Source organism: Homo sapiens, chromosome 11, assembly GCF_000001405.40.
Source record: "Homo sapiens chromosome 11, GRCh38.p14 Primary Assembly".
Classification (NCBI taxonomy): domain Eukaryota; kingdom Metazoa; phylum Chordata; class Mammalia; order Primates; family Hominidae; genus Homo; species Homo sapiens.
In genome coordinates, this window is record NC_000011.10 from 10,274,848 (window position 1) to 10,293,499 (window position 18,652).

Consider the following 18,652-nt stretch of genomic DNA (forward strand, 5'->3'; position numbering starts at 1 on the left):
CAAGAGTCTGCAAGTTTCTGTAATGCTTAAAATTTTTAACAAGTATGTATTACTACTGTAAGTAAAACAGTTTAGCACAGGCACGTCAGTGGAAGCAATATGCAAATGAATATGCAGAAGCATGCACCAGAAATATGCAGCAGAACCACCACCATCCTGGTTATGAATTAAAAGTAAAAACTGGGTAGAAAAATAGATGAGCAGAGTTTCCAAATCACATGGACACCTGAACTCAATAGCCAGGGAGAAAGGATCAGTCCAGAAACTAAGTCCATAAGGAGGTAAAGTCAAATGTGAGTAAAACAAAACACAGTTTATAGAGAAAGGAGACCGAGAAAAGAGAGAGAAGAGAAAAAAAAGAAAGAGAGAACACCAGACAATCAATCTGAAAGCAAAGGCAATTAACCTGGTTCCTTTGAGAGCCAGAACTTTTCCCAAGGTGTTACCCCCATTTGTGCTTGTAACTATAAAAGCACAATATGGCTTTAAAAGTCTTTAGTGGCAAAACTCTAAATTCTAAGACCAAAGTATATTTGATTCTCTGTTGGAGCATCTTGACGGGTATGACACCCATCTCCGCATGACTTCCTACTTACACAAGATAAAACTAAAATATTTTAAGTTATTTGTAGGATGTACTGAATACTGTTTTACTATTCGTGTTCTTAGTTTCTACAGTAAAATACATGTATACCTTACAAAACTAAAATTGCTTTTTACTTACATGACTTTTCATTAACTTGTATTCTACGGTTTAACATTCTTTCATTAATTTAAAAAAAAAAAAAAAAGTATCCCAATCCTCCTCATTTCCAAGGCTGCAACAGAATCTTAAAACAAAACAAAAAAACCAATACACTAGAAGGAGTAAAACAAAAACTGCTTCTTGGGGAACAATTCATTGTTTCAAAATAAATATTTTAACAAAAAATTCTATAGGCTCTATCCATTTTTAATCATACCTACCAGTGAGAGTCTACTAGGTGACTTCTTAAGTCAACATTTAAGAGTGGGGAAAAAAATGTGATGTTTCATTGCTGTCTCTAAATTTATGTGGTATTCATAACACTACAGATTACAACATGCTATACAGGTTTCAACATTTGAAAATTCTCTGGAGTTGTAATCATAGTTAAAAGCAAAGCATTAAATTCAAGAAGCTTGAAAAAAAGCAATGTTTTCTGAGAATGATCTTTTAACAGTGGTCAATTTGCATAGTTTTTTACTTTCTACAAAATACTTTACTGATGAGGGGAAAAATTATTTTCTACCATAATTAGGAATCTGGACTTAACCTGTTATGCCAAAAACAGCAACCATACTTTGCAACAAAAAAAATTTTCAAAAGCATTTTCAATCTTCCTGACTACCAAAGTTTCCACTACCAAAAGTGAAAACACTTTTAAACCTTCCTGTGTAACAAGTTTTAAATTTTCTTTTATTTATTTGTATCAATTTTCTCACCTGTGGCTGCCAAAATATCAAGAATTTCAACTCCAGAGAAGGAGGACAGAAGAAACACAATGTAAAGTGGTTGGCCTAGTAAAATAGTTGGAAAAAAAACTGTTTTGGCTGCTCTAATATAATCTTCATTTATTACTCATTAGTTCTCTTCTTATGGTCCCAATATTCCAGCCAAATTGAGAATCTACTCACTGTTTATCAATTCAGTGCCTTTGCCACTACTCATCTCCACCTCCCAGTCCCCACAATGTATTTATAGACAAAAGTTTTGATTTAAAGCCAGAAAACTGGGTTCAAGTTTCATTTAATCCCTTTTAATTCCATTCATGATCAGTATGAACATGGACAAATTATTTTACCTTTATGCACCTTCAAGGATAACTCAGTGTAACCATGAAGAGTCAATGCAATAATGTGAACACACTCAATTTTTTTAAATGAATGAAGATTCAATCTGATAGTCTCTGCTTGTAAAACAAGTGTATAGAGAAATGTAGGCTGTGACACTAGATCCCAAGAAAGTATCTACTGGTTGTTATCAATATAATAATATGGAGAAAACAGGTGGCACTAGTAATTTAAAGTTAGAACAAGGAACACAACACAAATTTAAGCCTTTCTTAAAACTGTGTAAAACAGGCTCGGTACAATGGCTCATGCCTGTAATATCAGCACTTTGGGAGGCCAAGGCAGGAGGATTCCTTGAGGCCAGGGGTTCCAGGCCAGCCTGGTGAACATAGGGAGACCCCATCTCTACAAAAAACTTTAAAAAGATAGTGCCACTGCACTCCTGCCTGGGCAACAGAGCGAGACCCCATCTCAAAAAAAAAAAAAAAAAAAAAAAAGGCCTGTAATCTCAGCACTTTGGGAGGCCAAGGCGGGCAGATCGCTTGAGCCCGGGAGTTTGAGACCAGCCTAGGCATCACAAAGACTCTGTCTCTAAACAAACAAACAAAAAATCATGCAAAGCTATGTATCTGTCTTCCAAGGAATTCTGAATTTTCTACAGCTTATTTTTCAATGAAGTATTTAGAGTGGATGCTGATTTAACTTGTAATGTTGTGGGAGTGATTCCTATTTCATATGTTTGGCTTTTTGAATAATTTTGTTTGTTGCAAAATTGTTTTTAAAAAATTAAGCCTATTTAGCACTGTTCTATCCAGATAGATTTCCTAATATTTACAAACTACTATTATTATAATAACTGCATGAACCATTGTGTTTGTGGTGAGTTGAATAGCGTTGTCCAAAAATTCACGTCCATCAGAATCTCATAATGTGACTTTATTTGGAAACAGGGTCTTTGCAGATATAGTTAAGGATCTTCTGATGAAAATTATCATGGATTTAGGGTGAGCCCTAAATCCAATGATTAGCATCTTTATAAAAGAAAAGAAAGGGAGATTTGGACACAGTAACAGAGAATGCGGCCATGTGATGACAGAGAAAGAGATCAGAGTTATGCTACCACCAATCAAGGAGCCCCTGGGGCCACCAGATGCTGGAAGAGGGAAAGGAAGGATCCTTCCCTAAATCCTTCAGAGAGACTGAGGCCCTCCTGTCACCTTAACTTCAGACTTCTAGTCTCCAGAATTGTGAGAGAATGGTGTTTGTTTTAAATCACGAGTTTGTAGTAATTTGTTATGGCAACCCCAAGAAACTAGCAGAGTGTTGGAGCTTAACTAAGCACTATTGTTTAAACATTTTAAAGTGAGAATTCTCTGTACTTCCCTGCAATAGTATTAATTTTCCCAAAAGACCCAAACTTTTTTATCTTCTTAGTTAACAATCTTTTTGTTCCTATACTCTAGATCAATCTATACTGTTTGAAATTCATTTAAACTTAAGCAGTTATGTGAAATATTTCCCTAGGCAAAATTAGTTTTTAATTTTCTTTCAAGTAAACAATGAAACCTACAGCTATAACTAAAAACTTATGAAAAATTTTATGATGAAGACATTGATAAGTATATGGGAAAATAAAATTATCAACTTATAAAAGTTATATTTGCCTTCGCAATGTAAATTATGGTAATAACAATTTTAAATAAATAACTTTTACTCAATAAACAACTGCATAACCAACCCCAAAAATTTCGAGAGCTCAGCAATAATAGGATATTAAATCTTATAATATTTAATGATCTCAGTTCTGACCATAATAATGTTTTAAAATTAAGAAATACTGGCAGGGCGCAGAGGCTCATGTCTGTAATCCCAGCACTTTGGGAGGCCAAGGCGGGTGGATTACCTGAGGTCAGGAGTTTGAGATCAGTCCGGCCAACATGGTGAAACCCTGTCTCTACTAAAAATACAAAAATATTAGCCGGGCATGGTGGCAGGCGCCTGTAATCCCAGCTACTTGGGAGGTTGAGGCAGGAGAATAGCTTGAATCGGGGAGGCAGAGGTTGCAGTGAGCTGAGACCGAGCCCCATTGCACTCCAGCCTGGGCAACAAGAACGAAACTCCATCTCAATAAAAAAAAAAAAAAAAGAAATACAATTCCAGCAACACAATGATTTAATCAATGCCTTCACTTTCCTAACAGTTTTTAATAAAAATGATCTTTATCATATTGGGCATAACAACCTATAATATACAAATTAACCTACAATTAGGAAATAAAACTATTCAAAAAGTTATTTCAAGGCTGGGCGCAATGGCTTAATCTCAGCGCTTTGGGTGGCCGAGGTGAAAGAATGGCTGAGGCCATGAGTTTGAGGCTGCAGTGAGCTATGATCGCACTTCTGCAGGCATTCCAGCCTGGGCAACAGAACAAGACCCGGTCTTGTATTAAAAAAAAAAAAAAAAAAAAAAAAGCCAGGCGTGGTGGCTCATGCCTGTAATCTCAGCACTTTGGGAGGCTGAAGTGGGTGGATCACCTGATGTCAGGAGTTTAAGACCAACCTGGCCAACATGGTGAAACCCCATCTCTACTAAAAATACAAAAACTTAGCCGGGCATGGTGGCAGGTGCCTGTAATCCCAGCTACTAGGGAGACTGAGGCAGGAGAATTGCTTGAACCCGGGAGACGGAGGTTGTAGTGAGCTGAGGTCGCACCATTGCACTCCAGCCTGGGCAACAAGAGCGAGACTCCATCTCAAAAAAAAAAAAAAAAGTTATTTCAAGAGGTTAGGTCTCTTGGAATTCATTATTTAGATACTAGTACCTAAAATTTAAAAGCTTACCCTGAAACTTCTTGGCACATATCACCACTATCTTTTCCTAATACCTCCCTGTCTGTTAGTGCTAAGTTTACCTGTAGATTTCCAGTTCTATTATATGCCTACGTGACCTGTCACCTCCCACAGTGTCCTTACACCTGATCAGTGATATGTTTTTTTGTGTTTGTTTTTGAGACAGAGTCTCCCTCTGTCACCCAGGCTGGGGTGCAATGGCACAATCTCAGCTCACTGCAAGCTCCACCTCCCGGGTTCAAGTGATTCTACTGCCTCAGCCTCCTGAGTAGCTGGAATTACAGGCACGCACCACCACGCCTGGCTAATTTTGGTATTGTTAGTAGAGACAGGGGTTTCACCATGTTTGTCAGGCTGGTCTCGAACTTCTGACCTCATGATCCGCCCACCTCGGCCTCCCAAAGTGCTGGGATTACAGGCGTGAGCCACCACGCCTGGCCGATCAGTGATGTTTTAATGTGCATCATTATAGAACACAGTTTTCAGTATCGTTTATCTGAAATGTTTGGCATCAGAATTGTTTCAGGATTCTTTTGGATTTTTAAGTATTTGCATTATACTTACTGGTTGAGCATCCCTAATTCAAAAATCCGAAATCCAAAATGCTCTAATGAGCATTTCCTTTGAATGTCATATCAGTGCTCAAAAAGTTTCAGATTTCAGAGTATTTCAGATTTTCAGATTAGGGATACTCAACCTGTATCTCCAAGATTAACGAAATGACAATTTTAGTTTCCAAAGTACATACTCTTTAGAAGGGATGACTAAGAGCTGGACTGATATATTTGTATCCCAAATACATGTGCTTGAGACCCCCACAACATAAGGAACTTTATTCCTATACATACTATCCCCACTTTCTCCAGCATCAACTGTTCTCATTCCATTGATTTCCACTCTTCTACCTTTAAAATGGTCACATCTATTCCATACATTTTTAAAAACTCTCACTGGATCTTACTAAGTCTGCAATTTAATTCAACAAACATGTTACTGAGAGCAATAATAAGCCAGGCAACTCTGGGATACAAAAAATAGTCTTTTTACCCTGAAGAATAGGCATTCAAAGTTTTCCAACCAGATACTCTTACCTCTCAAAATCAGATTACTGAAACAAATCATCTTAATATGCTGCCTCTACTTCTTATTCTTTATCCTACTAAAATTCTGCAATATGGTTTACAATACAACATTCCAGCTGAAACAATCTGGGCTAAAACTACCCTTGATACAGCATGGTGTACTGCAGTATGGGCATGAGAAAACTTCTATTACAAGATTTGCCACTCAATAGCTGTGTAACTACTCACAGGTAACAACTGGGGATTGGGGGTGGGGGAGGCGGGCAGCCTTCACTGGTTTCTCCTTACCCAAAAATTGGACAGATATAGATTATGTGTACAGTTAACTTTCGGCCCTAAAGTTTTATGAAATGCAAAGCTTTTCATTAACTCCTTATCTCACTGATCGCTATCTGCCACACCTGACACTAAGAAATATTCCTTCACTTTCTATGACTTTTCTGATCTCGCCTTCTTCTGTGTATCTGGATTCAGATTACCCACATGAAGCAATAAACTCAGATTTATAATGGTTTAAACATGTAAGATTATAGCCTTTCATGTCAAAATAAATAAATAATTTAAAAATTCATATTAAAATAATAAAATAAATCCAGAGGGTAGCTATCCAGGTCTGCTATGACAATCCCACTATAAGTCATTAGGGACTCAGGTTCTTTCTAGCTTTTTGCTCTGATATACCTAGGGTTTGGGCCTTACCTACTTGGCCCAAGATGGCTGCTGGGGCTGCAGCCTTCATATCAGAATGCCAGTCTTAGGAAAAAGAAAAGCTAGGAAGGCATACCCTCATCCTTTAAGAACACTTATAGGATACTGCATTCATCATTTCCACTTACATCCAACTGACCAGAACTTATTCACATGTTTATAGCTGTCAGAAACTTGAAACAGTCTCTCTTATGCATGTCCACATGATTATTCAAAACCATCAAGGAGAAGAATCGCCATGGAGGAGAACCAAATGTCTCTTCCAAACTCTCCAAACCCTTCTGTGGTTCCTTTTCTTTTACATCCTCTTACCAATAGTGTTCCCCAAAGCTTGGTTCTCGGTACTTTATTCTTCTGTCTCTATGCCAACTTCTTGGGAACACCTACACAATTTCACAACTCTATATACTCTAATGACTCTCAAGTCTTTGTACCCAGTCCCTACCTGTCCCATCTTTTGAAGTCTCCACTTGGATAGCTGCAAAATAAACACCATTCTATGTCAATCCCACAAACACAAATGAGTAACTTTAAAAGAAAAACATTCTCAATCTTCCAATTTAAGTCATAACATCACAAGTACCCCCAGACCTCCAGGTCTGCAATTTTGAAGTTGCCTCTGACTCCTCTTTCCATTTTCAACAAGCCATGAGTTGCAGGTCATATTGAACTTCTAAAAAGAAATGAAACAAACTAGACTACATGAGGTTTATACAGCATATGACTTGGGGCATGTATTCATCAAAATGACTATGGCCCCCACAACTCTACTATAATGTTCGAAAGTTATCCTAATTATTAAATCCATAAGCCTATTTTTAGTCCTTATTATACATGACATTTTCAGCACATTTGACATTTGTTATTTCCTCCTCCTTGAAATTCTATATACCCAGGGTTTTCCATGATACCATATCATGCTATCTTGGTTCTTTTGCAATACCTCTGACTACTCCTATTTAGTTTCCAGGCTGCCACTGCTTTATCTACCTTTTGAATATTGATTTTTCTCTGAGTACAATTCTGAGGCCACTCTTTTTTTCACTCTTGCACATTTCCTAGGCAATCTCACATTTTTCTTCATATTTGACAATCAGCTGGCTACTGACAATTGCCAAGTTAAATCTCACTTTTCTCCTTACCTCCTGACTCACATGTCTAAACACCTAAATGACATCTCTACCTTGATTATAGACCATCACCTTTCACTCAGCATTTCCTTCCCTCATCCAAATTCATTTCTTCTCCTGAATTCCCTATTTGTATCCATAGCATCATGACACATATTACCTCTCATCCACTCTTTCTACTTTACCCCTCACATTCATTCATTACTAAATTTTACTAATCTGAACTTTCAAATTTCTCTAGCATCCATACCTTCCTTGCCATTTCCACCATAAAAACGTTTGAGCTTTCTCATACTGGTCTTTCTCCCTTCAGTTCATTGCCATTTGAGTCACATTTCTATGTTGTTTCTTGCTTTTTAAGAGCTACCATTTTTCAACAGACCCCACCATCTATAGAGTCAAGGCTCACCATCTATAGAGTCAAGGCTAAATTCTATAGCCTGATATACAGAGCTTTTCACAATTGTCAACCCACTCAAGCATCAAAGCCTACCTCAGTTTCCATCTACTTTCACTTCTCTCCATTCCTGTAACAAGACATTCACATACACACATTTTTCCTCTATGCCTATAATCTCCTCTATCCTCTTTTTCACATAGCAAATGTTTATGCATACCATACAAATTGGTTTAAATATCACCTCTCATAAGAAGTCTTCTCTTTTTCCCTCAGTAAAATGGATCCATCCTCTTGAAATAAGCAATTTATCATTACTTATTTCAAGACCTTATCCACTAATGACTAGGTTAGGGATAGAGTTTTAATCTTTACTCATTTGTATCTAGCCTAGCACTTAGCACAATGCCTGGAAAGCAATAAATAACTGTCAAATCAGTGAATCCCAAATGGTTCTTGACAGGTGGCAACAAACAGCAACTAGAAAATACCAACTACTTCAGGGGAGAAAACTCAGGCTATGTATTACAATGGTTTAACAATAATCAATTATCAATTTTTACAATGTCTCAAAATGTGGTATTTCAGGTGTTATACATAAATTTACATTCTAGCTTGTCTCTCTCATAGTGCTTAAATAAAACTGATTAAATGCCTAAGAAACATGTCGAATGTTCTCTAACATACTTAAACAGACTGATATGAAAAAAAACAAGAACTTCAAATAATTAACATAATTGACTCCAGATGAAATACCACCAAGATACATGAATTATAAATGTATTAATGGACAGAAGAAATAAAAAAAAGTAAAGGCATATAAAATTAACACAGGTAGTCATTATCAATTTTTCTGGACAAATCTCAGTAAAAGAAAGTAAAAACAATAAGAAAAATATAGTTGGCTAAATAACTTCACATATTAGAAGCTAATGATATTTCTTAATTATTCTGCCATAGTTCACAGGCAAAGTCAGAAAAATAAAGTCTTAATTTCAAATTATCAAAATCAAACTATCATAAAAATCAGTGGTTTTCAAGCTATGTTCTCCTCAGCATAACAGCACTATAAGAACACAAAACTGGAAACAAGGTCCAATAGTAAAGTGACTAAGTTAAAATGAAACACTCAAATGATATAATAATACAGCCACTGGACATTATGTTTTTCTAAAATTTTATAAAATAACTTATGTCATTAATAGCTTTTAAAAAGATAGTAAGGGTATCTTTCTATCTTCCTTATAGCTTTTTAAATTAAACTTTTAATTTTGAGATAGTTGCAGATTTACACACAATTGTAAGAATTAATACAGAAACCATATACCCTTTACCCAGTTCCCTCCACTGGTGACGTCTTGCAAAATTAAATTACAAAATCACCACCAGGATATCATACAATCCACCAATCTCATTCACATTTCCTCAGTTTTACCTATACTCATTTGTGGTTGTATGTGTGTATTTAGTTCTATGCAATTTTATCACACATGAAGATATATGTATCCACCACCCAGTCAAAATATAAAACAATTTTATCACCACAAAAATTCCTCCCAATTACCCTTTTATAACCACATCCACCTCCCACCCTCCTTTTTTATAGCTTTTTCCCCCATATTTTCAACAACTGTGTGTTCATTCCATGTATCTTCCTTAACTACCTATGATGTACCAGGCACCCTTCTTTCTATATAATTCAAATAGCATGCATTAACTCTTTTTTCCAGTTTGTAAAAGAAATTTTTCAAAAGACAAGGGGTTTTTGCTTTTGTTTTTGAGACGGGATCTTGTTCCATTACCCAGGCTGGAGTTTGTTCCGTTACCCAGGCTGGAGTACAATGGCAAAAACACAGCTCACTGCAGCCTCGACCTCCTGGGCTCAAGTAATGCTCCCACCTCAACCTCCCAAGCAGCTGGGACTACAGGCATGCATCATCACACCTGGCTAATTCATTTTTATGTTTTTTTAATTTTTAGTAGAGACAAGGTCTCACTATGTTGCCTAGACTGGTCTCAAATTCCTGGGCACAAGTGATAACCCACCTCAGCCTCCCAATTACAGGTGTGAGCCAACTGCACCCAGCTGACAAGAGTTTTTTTTTTTTAATCCAATTATAAAATATAAATATTTAAAAATTCAACTGCAAGTATTGTTAATTGAAAAGACACTTTAGGAACAAAAATAAAGAGTGTATCATTTGGCCAGTGAGGTGACTCACGGCTGTAATCCCAGTGCTTTGGGAAGTTCAGGCAAAAGGACTGCTTGAGGCCAGGAGTTCAACACCAGCCTGGGTAACATGGTGAAACCCCATCTCTACAAAAAATAAGAAAATTAGCCAGGCATGGTGGCGTGCACCTGTAGTCCCAGCTACTCGGCAGGCTGAGGTGGGAAGATGAACTGAGCCTGGGAGATCAAGGCTTCAGTAAACTGTGATTGTGCGACTGCCTTCCTGCCTGGTCAACAGAGTGAGACGAAAGGAAAGGAAAAAGAGAAGGGAAGGCAAGAGAAGGAAGAGAGGGGAGAGGGGAGGAAAAAGGGAGGGAGGGACAGACTTTCTAGAATTAGAAAAAAAAAAAATCTCAATAATACTGAGGCAGGAGAATAGGACCTGGTGGCAGGGAACCTAAGGACTTCCTAGAACTAAATCAAACAGAAAAACCCCAACTTTCTACATCCAAGTAAATAATTGTGTAATTTCCCTTCAGCTATGTCAGGAAACATCCTCTTTATTTGCATAGGGTGTACACCAAGTAAATAACTTTGTAACTTCACTTCATCCTCTTCATTTACATAAGGCATACACTGCATAACCAATGGGAATCCTCTAGAGGGTATTTAAACCCCAGAAAATTCTGTAACCAGCACTCTCAAGCTGCTTGCTCAAGCCCATTCCCACCCTGTGGAGTGTACTTTCATTTCAATAAATCTGTAATTTTCTGTCATTGCTTTGTTTGTGCATTTTGTCCAATTCTTTCTTCAAAACACCAAGAACCTGGACACCCTCCACCAATAACAGTAAGAAGTCAAACAACCCAATAAAAAAGAGCACAAATTTGATCAGACACTTTACAAAAAAATACACAAATGGCAACAAGCACCCGAAAAGGTGTTCAGCATTATTAGTCACCAGGAAAACGCAAATTAAAACCACAAATGAGGTATGTTAAGAGAGTAGATCTTTTTTTTGGAGAAAAAAGCCTGTTGCCCAGGCTGGTCTCAAACTCCTGGACTCAAGCAATCCACCCACCTCAGCCTCCCATAGTGATGGGATTACAGGCGTGAGCTACCACGCCCAGCCAAAAGAGATTTTAAATTTCTTCACATAAACACGCACACGCACACACACACACACACACACACACACACGGTAACTATGTGAAGTGATGGATATGTTAATTACCTTGACTGTGGTAATCATTTCACAATGTATACATAAAACATCACGCTGTCCACCATAAATATATATGATTTTTATTTGTAAATTATATCTCAATAAAGCTAGAGGAAGTTTTTGTTCTTTGGTTTTTTTTTTTTTGAGACAGTCTTGCTCTGTCGCCAGGCTGTAGTGCAGTTGTGCGATCTCGGCTCACTGCGATCTCGGCTCACTGCAATCTCTGCCTCCTGAGTTCAAGCCATTCTCCTGCCTCAGCCTCCCACGTAGCTGGGATTACAGGTGCACGCCACCACACTCAGCTAATTTTTGTATTTTTAGGAGAGACGGGGTTTCACCATGTTGGCCAGGATGGTCTCGTTCTCCTGACCTCGTGATCCACCCACCTTGGCCTCCCAAAGTGGTGAGATTATAAGTGTGAGCCACGGCACCCAGCCTGTTTTTGTTTTTTGTTTTTTTGTCTTTTTAGTGAAGGCAAGTTTATTAGAGAAGTTAACAAAAAATGGCTACTCCACAGGCAGAGCAACCAAAAATATTTTTAAGTAATAAATTAAATTTAAAAAGAATAACTGAAACTCTCATACATTGCTAGTGAAAATGTAAAATGGCACAGCCAATTAGAAAAGTTTGTCAGTCTCACACAAATAAGACACTTATGACCTAGCAATTCTTCTCCTACGTATTTACCCAAGAGAAATAAAAACATGAACATGAAAACATTCAAAGATCTGTATGCAAATGTTCAGAACAATTATGTTCACCATAGCCCAAAACTAGAAATTCAAGTGTCCTTCAACTGGTGAATGGATAAATCGTATCATACTAAGCAATAAAAAGGAACAACTGCCAATAAATTCAACATAGATAAATCTCAACTGTATGATCCTAAGTGAAAAAAGTTAGACACAAAAAACTGTATACTATTTATATGACATTCTAGAAAAGACAAAAACATACAGACAGAAAACAGATCAGTGACTGCCAGATGCTAGAAAGGGAACTGACTACAAAGAGGCATGAGAGAACTTTTTGGAAGCATGAAAATGTTCCCTATCTATCTATCTATCTACCTATTTTTAGAAACAGAGTCTCAATCTGTCACTCAGGCTGGAATACAGTAGAGTGATCATGACTCACTGCAGCTTCGAACTCCTAGGTTCAAGCAGTCCTCCCATCTTAGCATCCGAAGTAGCTGGAACTACAGACATGTGTCACCACGCCAGGCTATTTTTTTTTTTCAAAGATGGGGCTCACCATGTGGCACAGGCTGGTCTCAAACTCCTGGTCTAAAGCAATCCTCCAGCCTCAGCCTCCCAAAGCATTGCCATTATAGATATGAGCCACAGCGGCCAGCCCTATATCTATATCTTGATTGCAGTAGTGGCTACACTAATGTATGTATTTGTCAAAACTCACTGAAATGTTCACTTAAAAGAGTAAATTTTATTGCATGTAATTTATACTTTATTAGATATTGTTATGGGATCTTTAGGGTGTCACTTTTCTGGCCAGAAACCTGTGGCTGGTGGCACCTCTGCCTGAGTTTTGCTCAGACCTGCTAGCCTCATTCCCACCCACTCGGCCTTGTAGGCTACACTCAGCTCACGCTACCAGCCTGGATCCCATGCCTCCAAGAAAGACTGGAGTCAGGCGTGGAGTGGTGAGGGGTGTGTAAGCGAGCGTACAGTCTGGCCATTGCCCAGTCAGACATGTCAGCTGCTGCCACAGGGTGGGCAGCTCCAGGTGCTGGCATAAGTGCCAGCTCTCTGCGAGGCTGTGGCTGGACCAGTTGCACCACAAACAGCTTCCCCGGCCGGCACCGGGGAATGTAGTGGCACTCAGAAGCTTGAAGATGCCAGGAACCACAGGGCCCCAAAGAAGGAGTCACAGCCCTAGCTTGGGGAGCTCCCAGGTCTGGGCTCCCAGAAGGGCCACAGCTCTTATCTCCCTTCCTTCACCTGCAACATGGTGAGCAAGGGGCATGTTTCAGCTCTGCTTGTGTTAGAGCTCTTTTACCCTCACCATTCAAGGGTCCCAAGTTCTTGTTCTGTGACCAGGAAGAATGAGGTCCTCAGACAACAAATGGAGGGTGAGCAAGACAAAGAGGAACTTTACTGAGCAATAGAACAGCTCAAAGACCCACAGTGGACAGCTCTTCTCTGTAGCAAGGGTATCCTGATGAGTGTTCAGCTCCTAGCAGAGAGGGTAGCTCCTTTATGCAGGCAGGTCACCCCAGCAAGTATTTTCTCAGCAGTGAGAGTGGCTCCTCTCTGCAGCTGGTCATCCCAACAGGTGTTCAGCTATCAGCAGAGAGGGCAGCTCCTCTCTGCAGCTGGTTGTCCTGCTGTCTGCAGCTCTCAGCAGAGAGGTCCTAGACTAGAATGGGTGGCTCCTCTCTGCAGGCAGATTGTCCCATCATCTCTTCAGCTCTCAGCAGAGAGGAGGCCCTACAGTGGGAAGCTCCTCTCTTTAGGCAGGTTGTCCCATCATCTCTGCATCTATCAGCAGAGAGGGTAACTCCTCTCTGTAACTGGTTGTCCCATCATCTCTCCATCCTCTGCTCTGCTCTGGGCTGAGCCTGCAACTTTTATGGGCCTCAGAGGGGACAAAGTGCACACCAATTGTCCATAGGTGGGCCCAGAAAAGGTACCACAAGTCCTCGCTCTAGTCCATAGGACTGGCAGCTGGGCCCCCAGTCTTCAAGCCCTCCCCGGCCTGAAGGTGGGGCCTCACCAGAGACCTGCCCCCTTCCGCCATCCACGACGCCCAGGCTTCTCGCTTCAAGGGGTACCTGCAGGCCAGCACCAAACCTCCCTCAAACCCCTCCCACGGTGCTTGTCAGGGCCCAAAGTCCAGAGGGGGCTGAGGAGGCAGGGGCCCAGTGTGTCAGCGCTGACCTAAGTGTGTACACACCCGGGGGCGCTGTGACAGCACCCTGGCTTGGCCCCAACCCCGCTCCGAGATTGGAGCAGGCGCCTCCAAGCCTACAAGGGCAGGAGGGATGCCTTCCCTGGCCCCTGAGAGTGCAAAGAGGCCTTGGTCCACAGCCCCAGCTTGGGCAGCTGCAGCTGTGTGGGGTGGGGGGGCCTCCTGCTCGTGGCCCCTTAGAACACAGGGAGAACTGGGTCCACAGCTCTGACTTGGGTGGCTGCAGCACACCCAGGAGGGCGGGGCTGCTGCCTGCTCCAGCCAGGTCCGTGGAGTGTGCAGCCCTAGCCATGCCCCCTCGTAGCCTGGAGCAGGGGCTCCAGGTCCTCGCTGGGCCCAGGCCAGTATCTAGGGCAGAGGTAACATCTCTACGAGCTCCCCCTCACCCAGCTTGTGGCCCTGCCTAGGGGGGTGCCTCCAGGAGCAGACTGTGGGCCCTGGGCCCAGCCCTTGGGAGTGTCAGGCCTGGCAATCACCCTGATGCAGGGTGGACCCCAGGGATGCGGCCCTAGGCGGCCCTGCTCAGAGCCTACCCCTGAGGCACAGGAACCCGGTGCCCTCGGCAGGGTGGGTGTGGTGACCACGCTGCTGGCTGGGTCCCTGAAGCAGGCACTGCTCCCACTTCCGGCCCCAGACCCCCATATCACACCTCCAGCTCCGCCTCCTCCTCACACCCTCCCCGCAGCATTGGTGGGCAAGAGTGGTGACACAGGGCCAGGGTCAGGAGCTGGGGAGGCTCCGGGCCTGAGGGCAGGTCCTGCCCAGAGGCACAAGGGCGGGGGCAGTACAGTCGGCTGCCTCAGGGATGCAGGGCACAGGGGACCCACCAGCATCATTGCTGCTCCCATAGCCGCTCCTGACACCACCGCCCGCACCTCTTCGCTGCCATCAACATGACAAAAGAAGAATTATCCCAAGTTAAAAAGTTATACATTTCACTGTTGACATTCTACAATTTATACAAGCTTCTGGATTGTATTACTTAAAAAATTAATCTTCCTTCTCCTTCCCTTTTCCTGCTGTGAGAAGAGCAGTTGTCATGGTACCCCTGGGGTGGAGGTGGATCCCTGGGGTGGAGCTTGTCATATTGTCATAGACCAAGAGAGCTAGGGAAGGAGTCTGTGTGGTAGGGGAAGAGGCAAACATTTTGCTTCAGAGCCCAAGCATTAAGGCAGGAGGGGGAAACTGGCAAAGGGCACTGGGGTACAACAGAGTGAGAAGGATATCTTCCAATGGAAGCAACTCACTGGGGTGTGTCAGAGTCTGAGTGGGGTACGAAGTGTGTCCACCGACAGTGGGGAGACCAACATGAGGAGTCATAACCAGAGTGCTGGGGAGGGTGTCCCTGTATGGAAGCATGCTGGTATGGACTCTTAGATCCAGACTGGGGTAGGGGGATGGAGGAGATGGAATGAAGAATCCAAGTCCCAGCAGGGAGAGGAGTAGATGGTAGTGAAGATGGGAGACTGAACAATAAGTAAATACATTCAGGATAACAGAAGCCAGATTTCTCACTGTCAGAGAAGAACGTTACAATATGAAAAAGGAGAACACTAGAATAGATCCTGGACTATTTGACTGAAATTGGAGGTATCAGTATGAATTCATAGTTTTCAATATACAGAGATAATAAATAAATATAGATATAAATGCATATGTATGTTTATGCATACATACCTATACTTACCAGCCCTGACCATTAACAGGACCTGGAAGGAGTAACAGCCCAACAGCAATAAACACACTAGCCTTGAGATCTTAGCTTCTAAATGTCATTCTCCACTAAAAGGAACCAGGGATCCCTAAATGGCTGATTACAGAACCAAGGCATGGAAAGTACAAGATGAGCCAGGAACAGGTTCTTGTGCCAAAAAGTACAAAGTTGTTCTCAAAGAGTGATGGGGATGTACCATAAGAACACAGAAGCCAGCTTGTACAACTCTCATTGGCCATATAAAGAACAATTTGAACATCAAAATAAATAATGCTATAGTCTGAATGTGTATGTCCCCTCCCAAAATTCGTATGTTAAAATCCTAACACCCAAAGTGATGGTATTATGAGGTGAGGCCTTTAGGAAGTGATCAGGTCATGGTGGTGGAGTCCTTGTGAATGGGATTAGTTCCCTTTTTAAAGAGACCCCAGAGAGCTCATTTGACCCTTAAGCCATATGAGGTTAAAGTGAGAACATGGCTATGAGGAAGCATGTCCTCACCAGACACTGAATCTGTCAGAGTCTTCATCTTGGATTTCTCTGCCTCCAGACTGTGAAAAATAAATTTCTATTGTTTATAAGCCACCCAGTTTGAGGTATTTTTGTTATAACAGCCCGAATGGACTAAGGCAAATAGTAACAGAATATAATCCGCGAGCTCCCCTTTCTGGTCTCACTTCGGCTGGATGTGCTTAGACTCTCCTATTTCCCACTCAAGCCAGTGCTTCGGGCAGGTGGGCTAGTGACTTTTTCCGAATAGACTAAGGCAAATAGTAACAGAATATAATCCACTAAACACACACACACACACACACACACACACACACACACACACAGACTCCATGTAGATGTCAATAAATGATTAAGAGTTTAGTGAGGAACAAGATATTTACATAGTTTCAAAGTACATGGCAAAAACAATTAAGTATTAACTTTACAGTGGAGAAGCCTCGCAGATATTACTTATATCAAGTAATCAAAGTAAAAATAACCAACAATGAAACAAAGTGAAATTGTGCACCACCTGACAGGATGCAGTGAGCATCACTTCTGTGATATCCTTCCCACGTGCATATTCGTATGTATCTAATCATGAAGGAACAGACAATCCCAAATTGAGGGGGCAGCCTACAAAGTGACTGACCTGTAATTGTTAAATATGTTAAGGTCATGAAAGTCAGGAGAAGATAAAGGAAATGTTCCAGATTGAGGGAGACAAAAGAGACATAACATGAATGCAACACATATTGCTAAACTGGATCCTTTTGCCAGTAAAGAGATTACTAGCACAATCAACAAAACTTGAACCAGTCTGAGAACTAGATGGAGTACTGTATCACTATCCATTTCCTGTTTTGGTTATTACACTGTGATCATGTAGGAGAACATTCTTGTTTGCAGAAAATGCACATTAAAGTATTCTGGGATGACAGGGCATCAGGTCAACAGCTTCCTCTCAAATTGTTGGGGGGCGGGTAGAATTTTTTGTACCATTCTTGCAACTTTTTTGCAAGTCTGTTATTGTTTCAACATTGTTGGCCGGGCGTGGTGGCTCAAGCCTGTAATCCCAGCACTTTGGGAGGCCGAGGCCGGTGGATCACGAGATCAGGAGTTCAAGACCAGCCTGGCCAGGATGGTGAAATCCCGTCTCTACTACAAATACAAAAATTAGCGGGCGTGTTGGCGGGCGCCTGTAAATCCCAGCTACTCCGGAGGCTGAGGCAGAGAATTGCTTCAACCCGGGAGACAGAGGTTGCAGTGAGCCAAGATCGCACCACTGCACTCCAGCGTGGGCAACAGAGCAAAACTCCGTCTCAAAAAAAAAAAAAAAAAAAATTGTTTAAAAGTGGGGAGGGGGGGAGGCGGAACAATGTCACTAAAAACTAAAGGTTAAAAAACTGATTTCCCACACTTAATCTTGATAGAAAAGAAACATCAGACTATGCCAAATTACTAGGAAATAAAATTTTGGATCCAGAAGTTTAAACATTTAAACTTTCTCTTTAACAATTGACCTCAATCAGGTCATGACTGGTGAAAGAGAAAAGAACATGAAAGGTTCCCACTAAAGGAGAGGAAGTTCTTAGGAGAGGAATAATGAAAGAGAGAGTGGACCAAGAGTGGGTAGAACAATGGTATTCTGAGCTACCAATGGCTGTAACCATCAGGAAAACACAATCTCAGCATCTCTGAAAAATGAAGGGGCTGTAGAGCTGATATCTCAAATTCCTTGCAAATGTGGGACTAGAATTGCCCTAAAATAGAAGTGGTTTCCCAGCTCAATTTGTTATTACATTATGCTTAGCTACATAGTAATACAAGAGAATACAAATACAGAAATAAACGTGCATGAACCCTGAATTCTCTTAAGTTGTGGAAGTCCGTCAATTAAAGTGTAAAATACAATGCATTTGCCCAATTGTTCCTTACGACGAAAATTCTGTGACAAATAAAAAGAACAATGAAAACACATTAAAGTGAAACAAGATCACCTTCAGCGGTCAGCTGGCTGTCCTTAGTTAAAAGACAAGTCATGTCACTGTGAAGTGACCGTCACATTTGTCCTGAAAGAATAGGGAGCATTTCCTAGAAAGGGGTAAAAGTGCAAAGAATCCTGTCCCCTTCCCTGGTACCACG

At 41.1% G+C, this 18,652-nt stretch overlaps 1 protein-coding gene across 11 annotated transcripts in view; it reads right to left on the minus strand.

Moving 5' to 3' along the window:
- The window catches only part of SBF2 (SET binding factor 2), a 526,174-nt gene that overhangs the window by 496,180 nt on the left and 11,342 nt on the right, over window positions 1–18,652 (minus strand). The window lies entirely within an intron of this gene.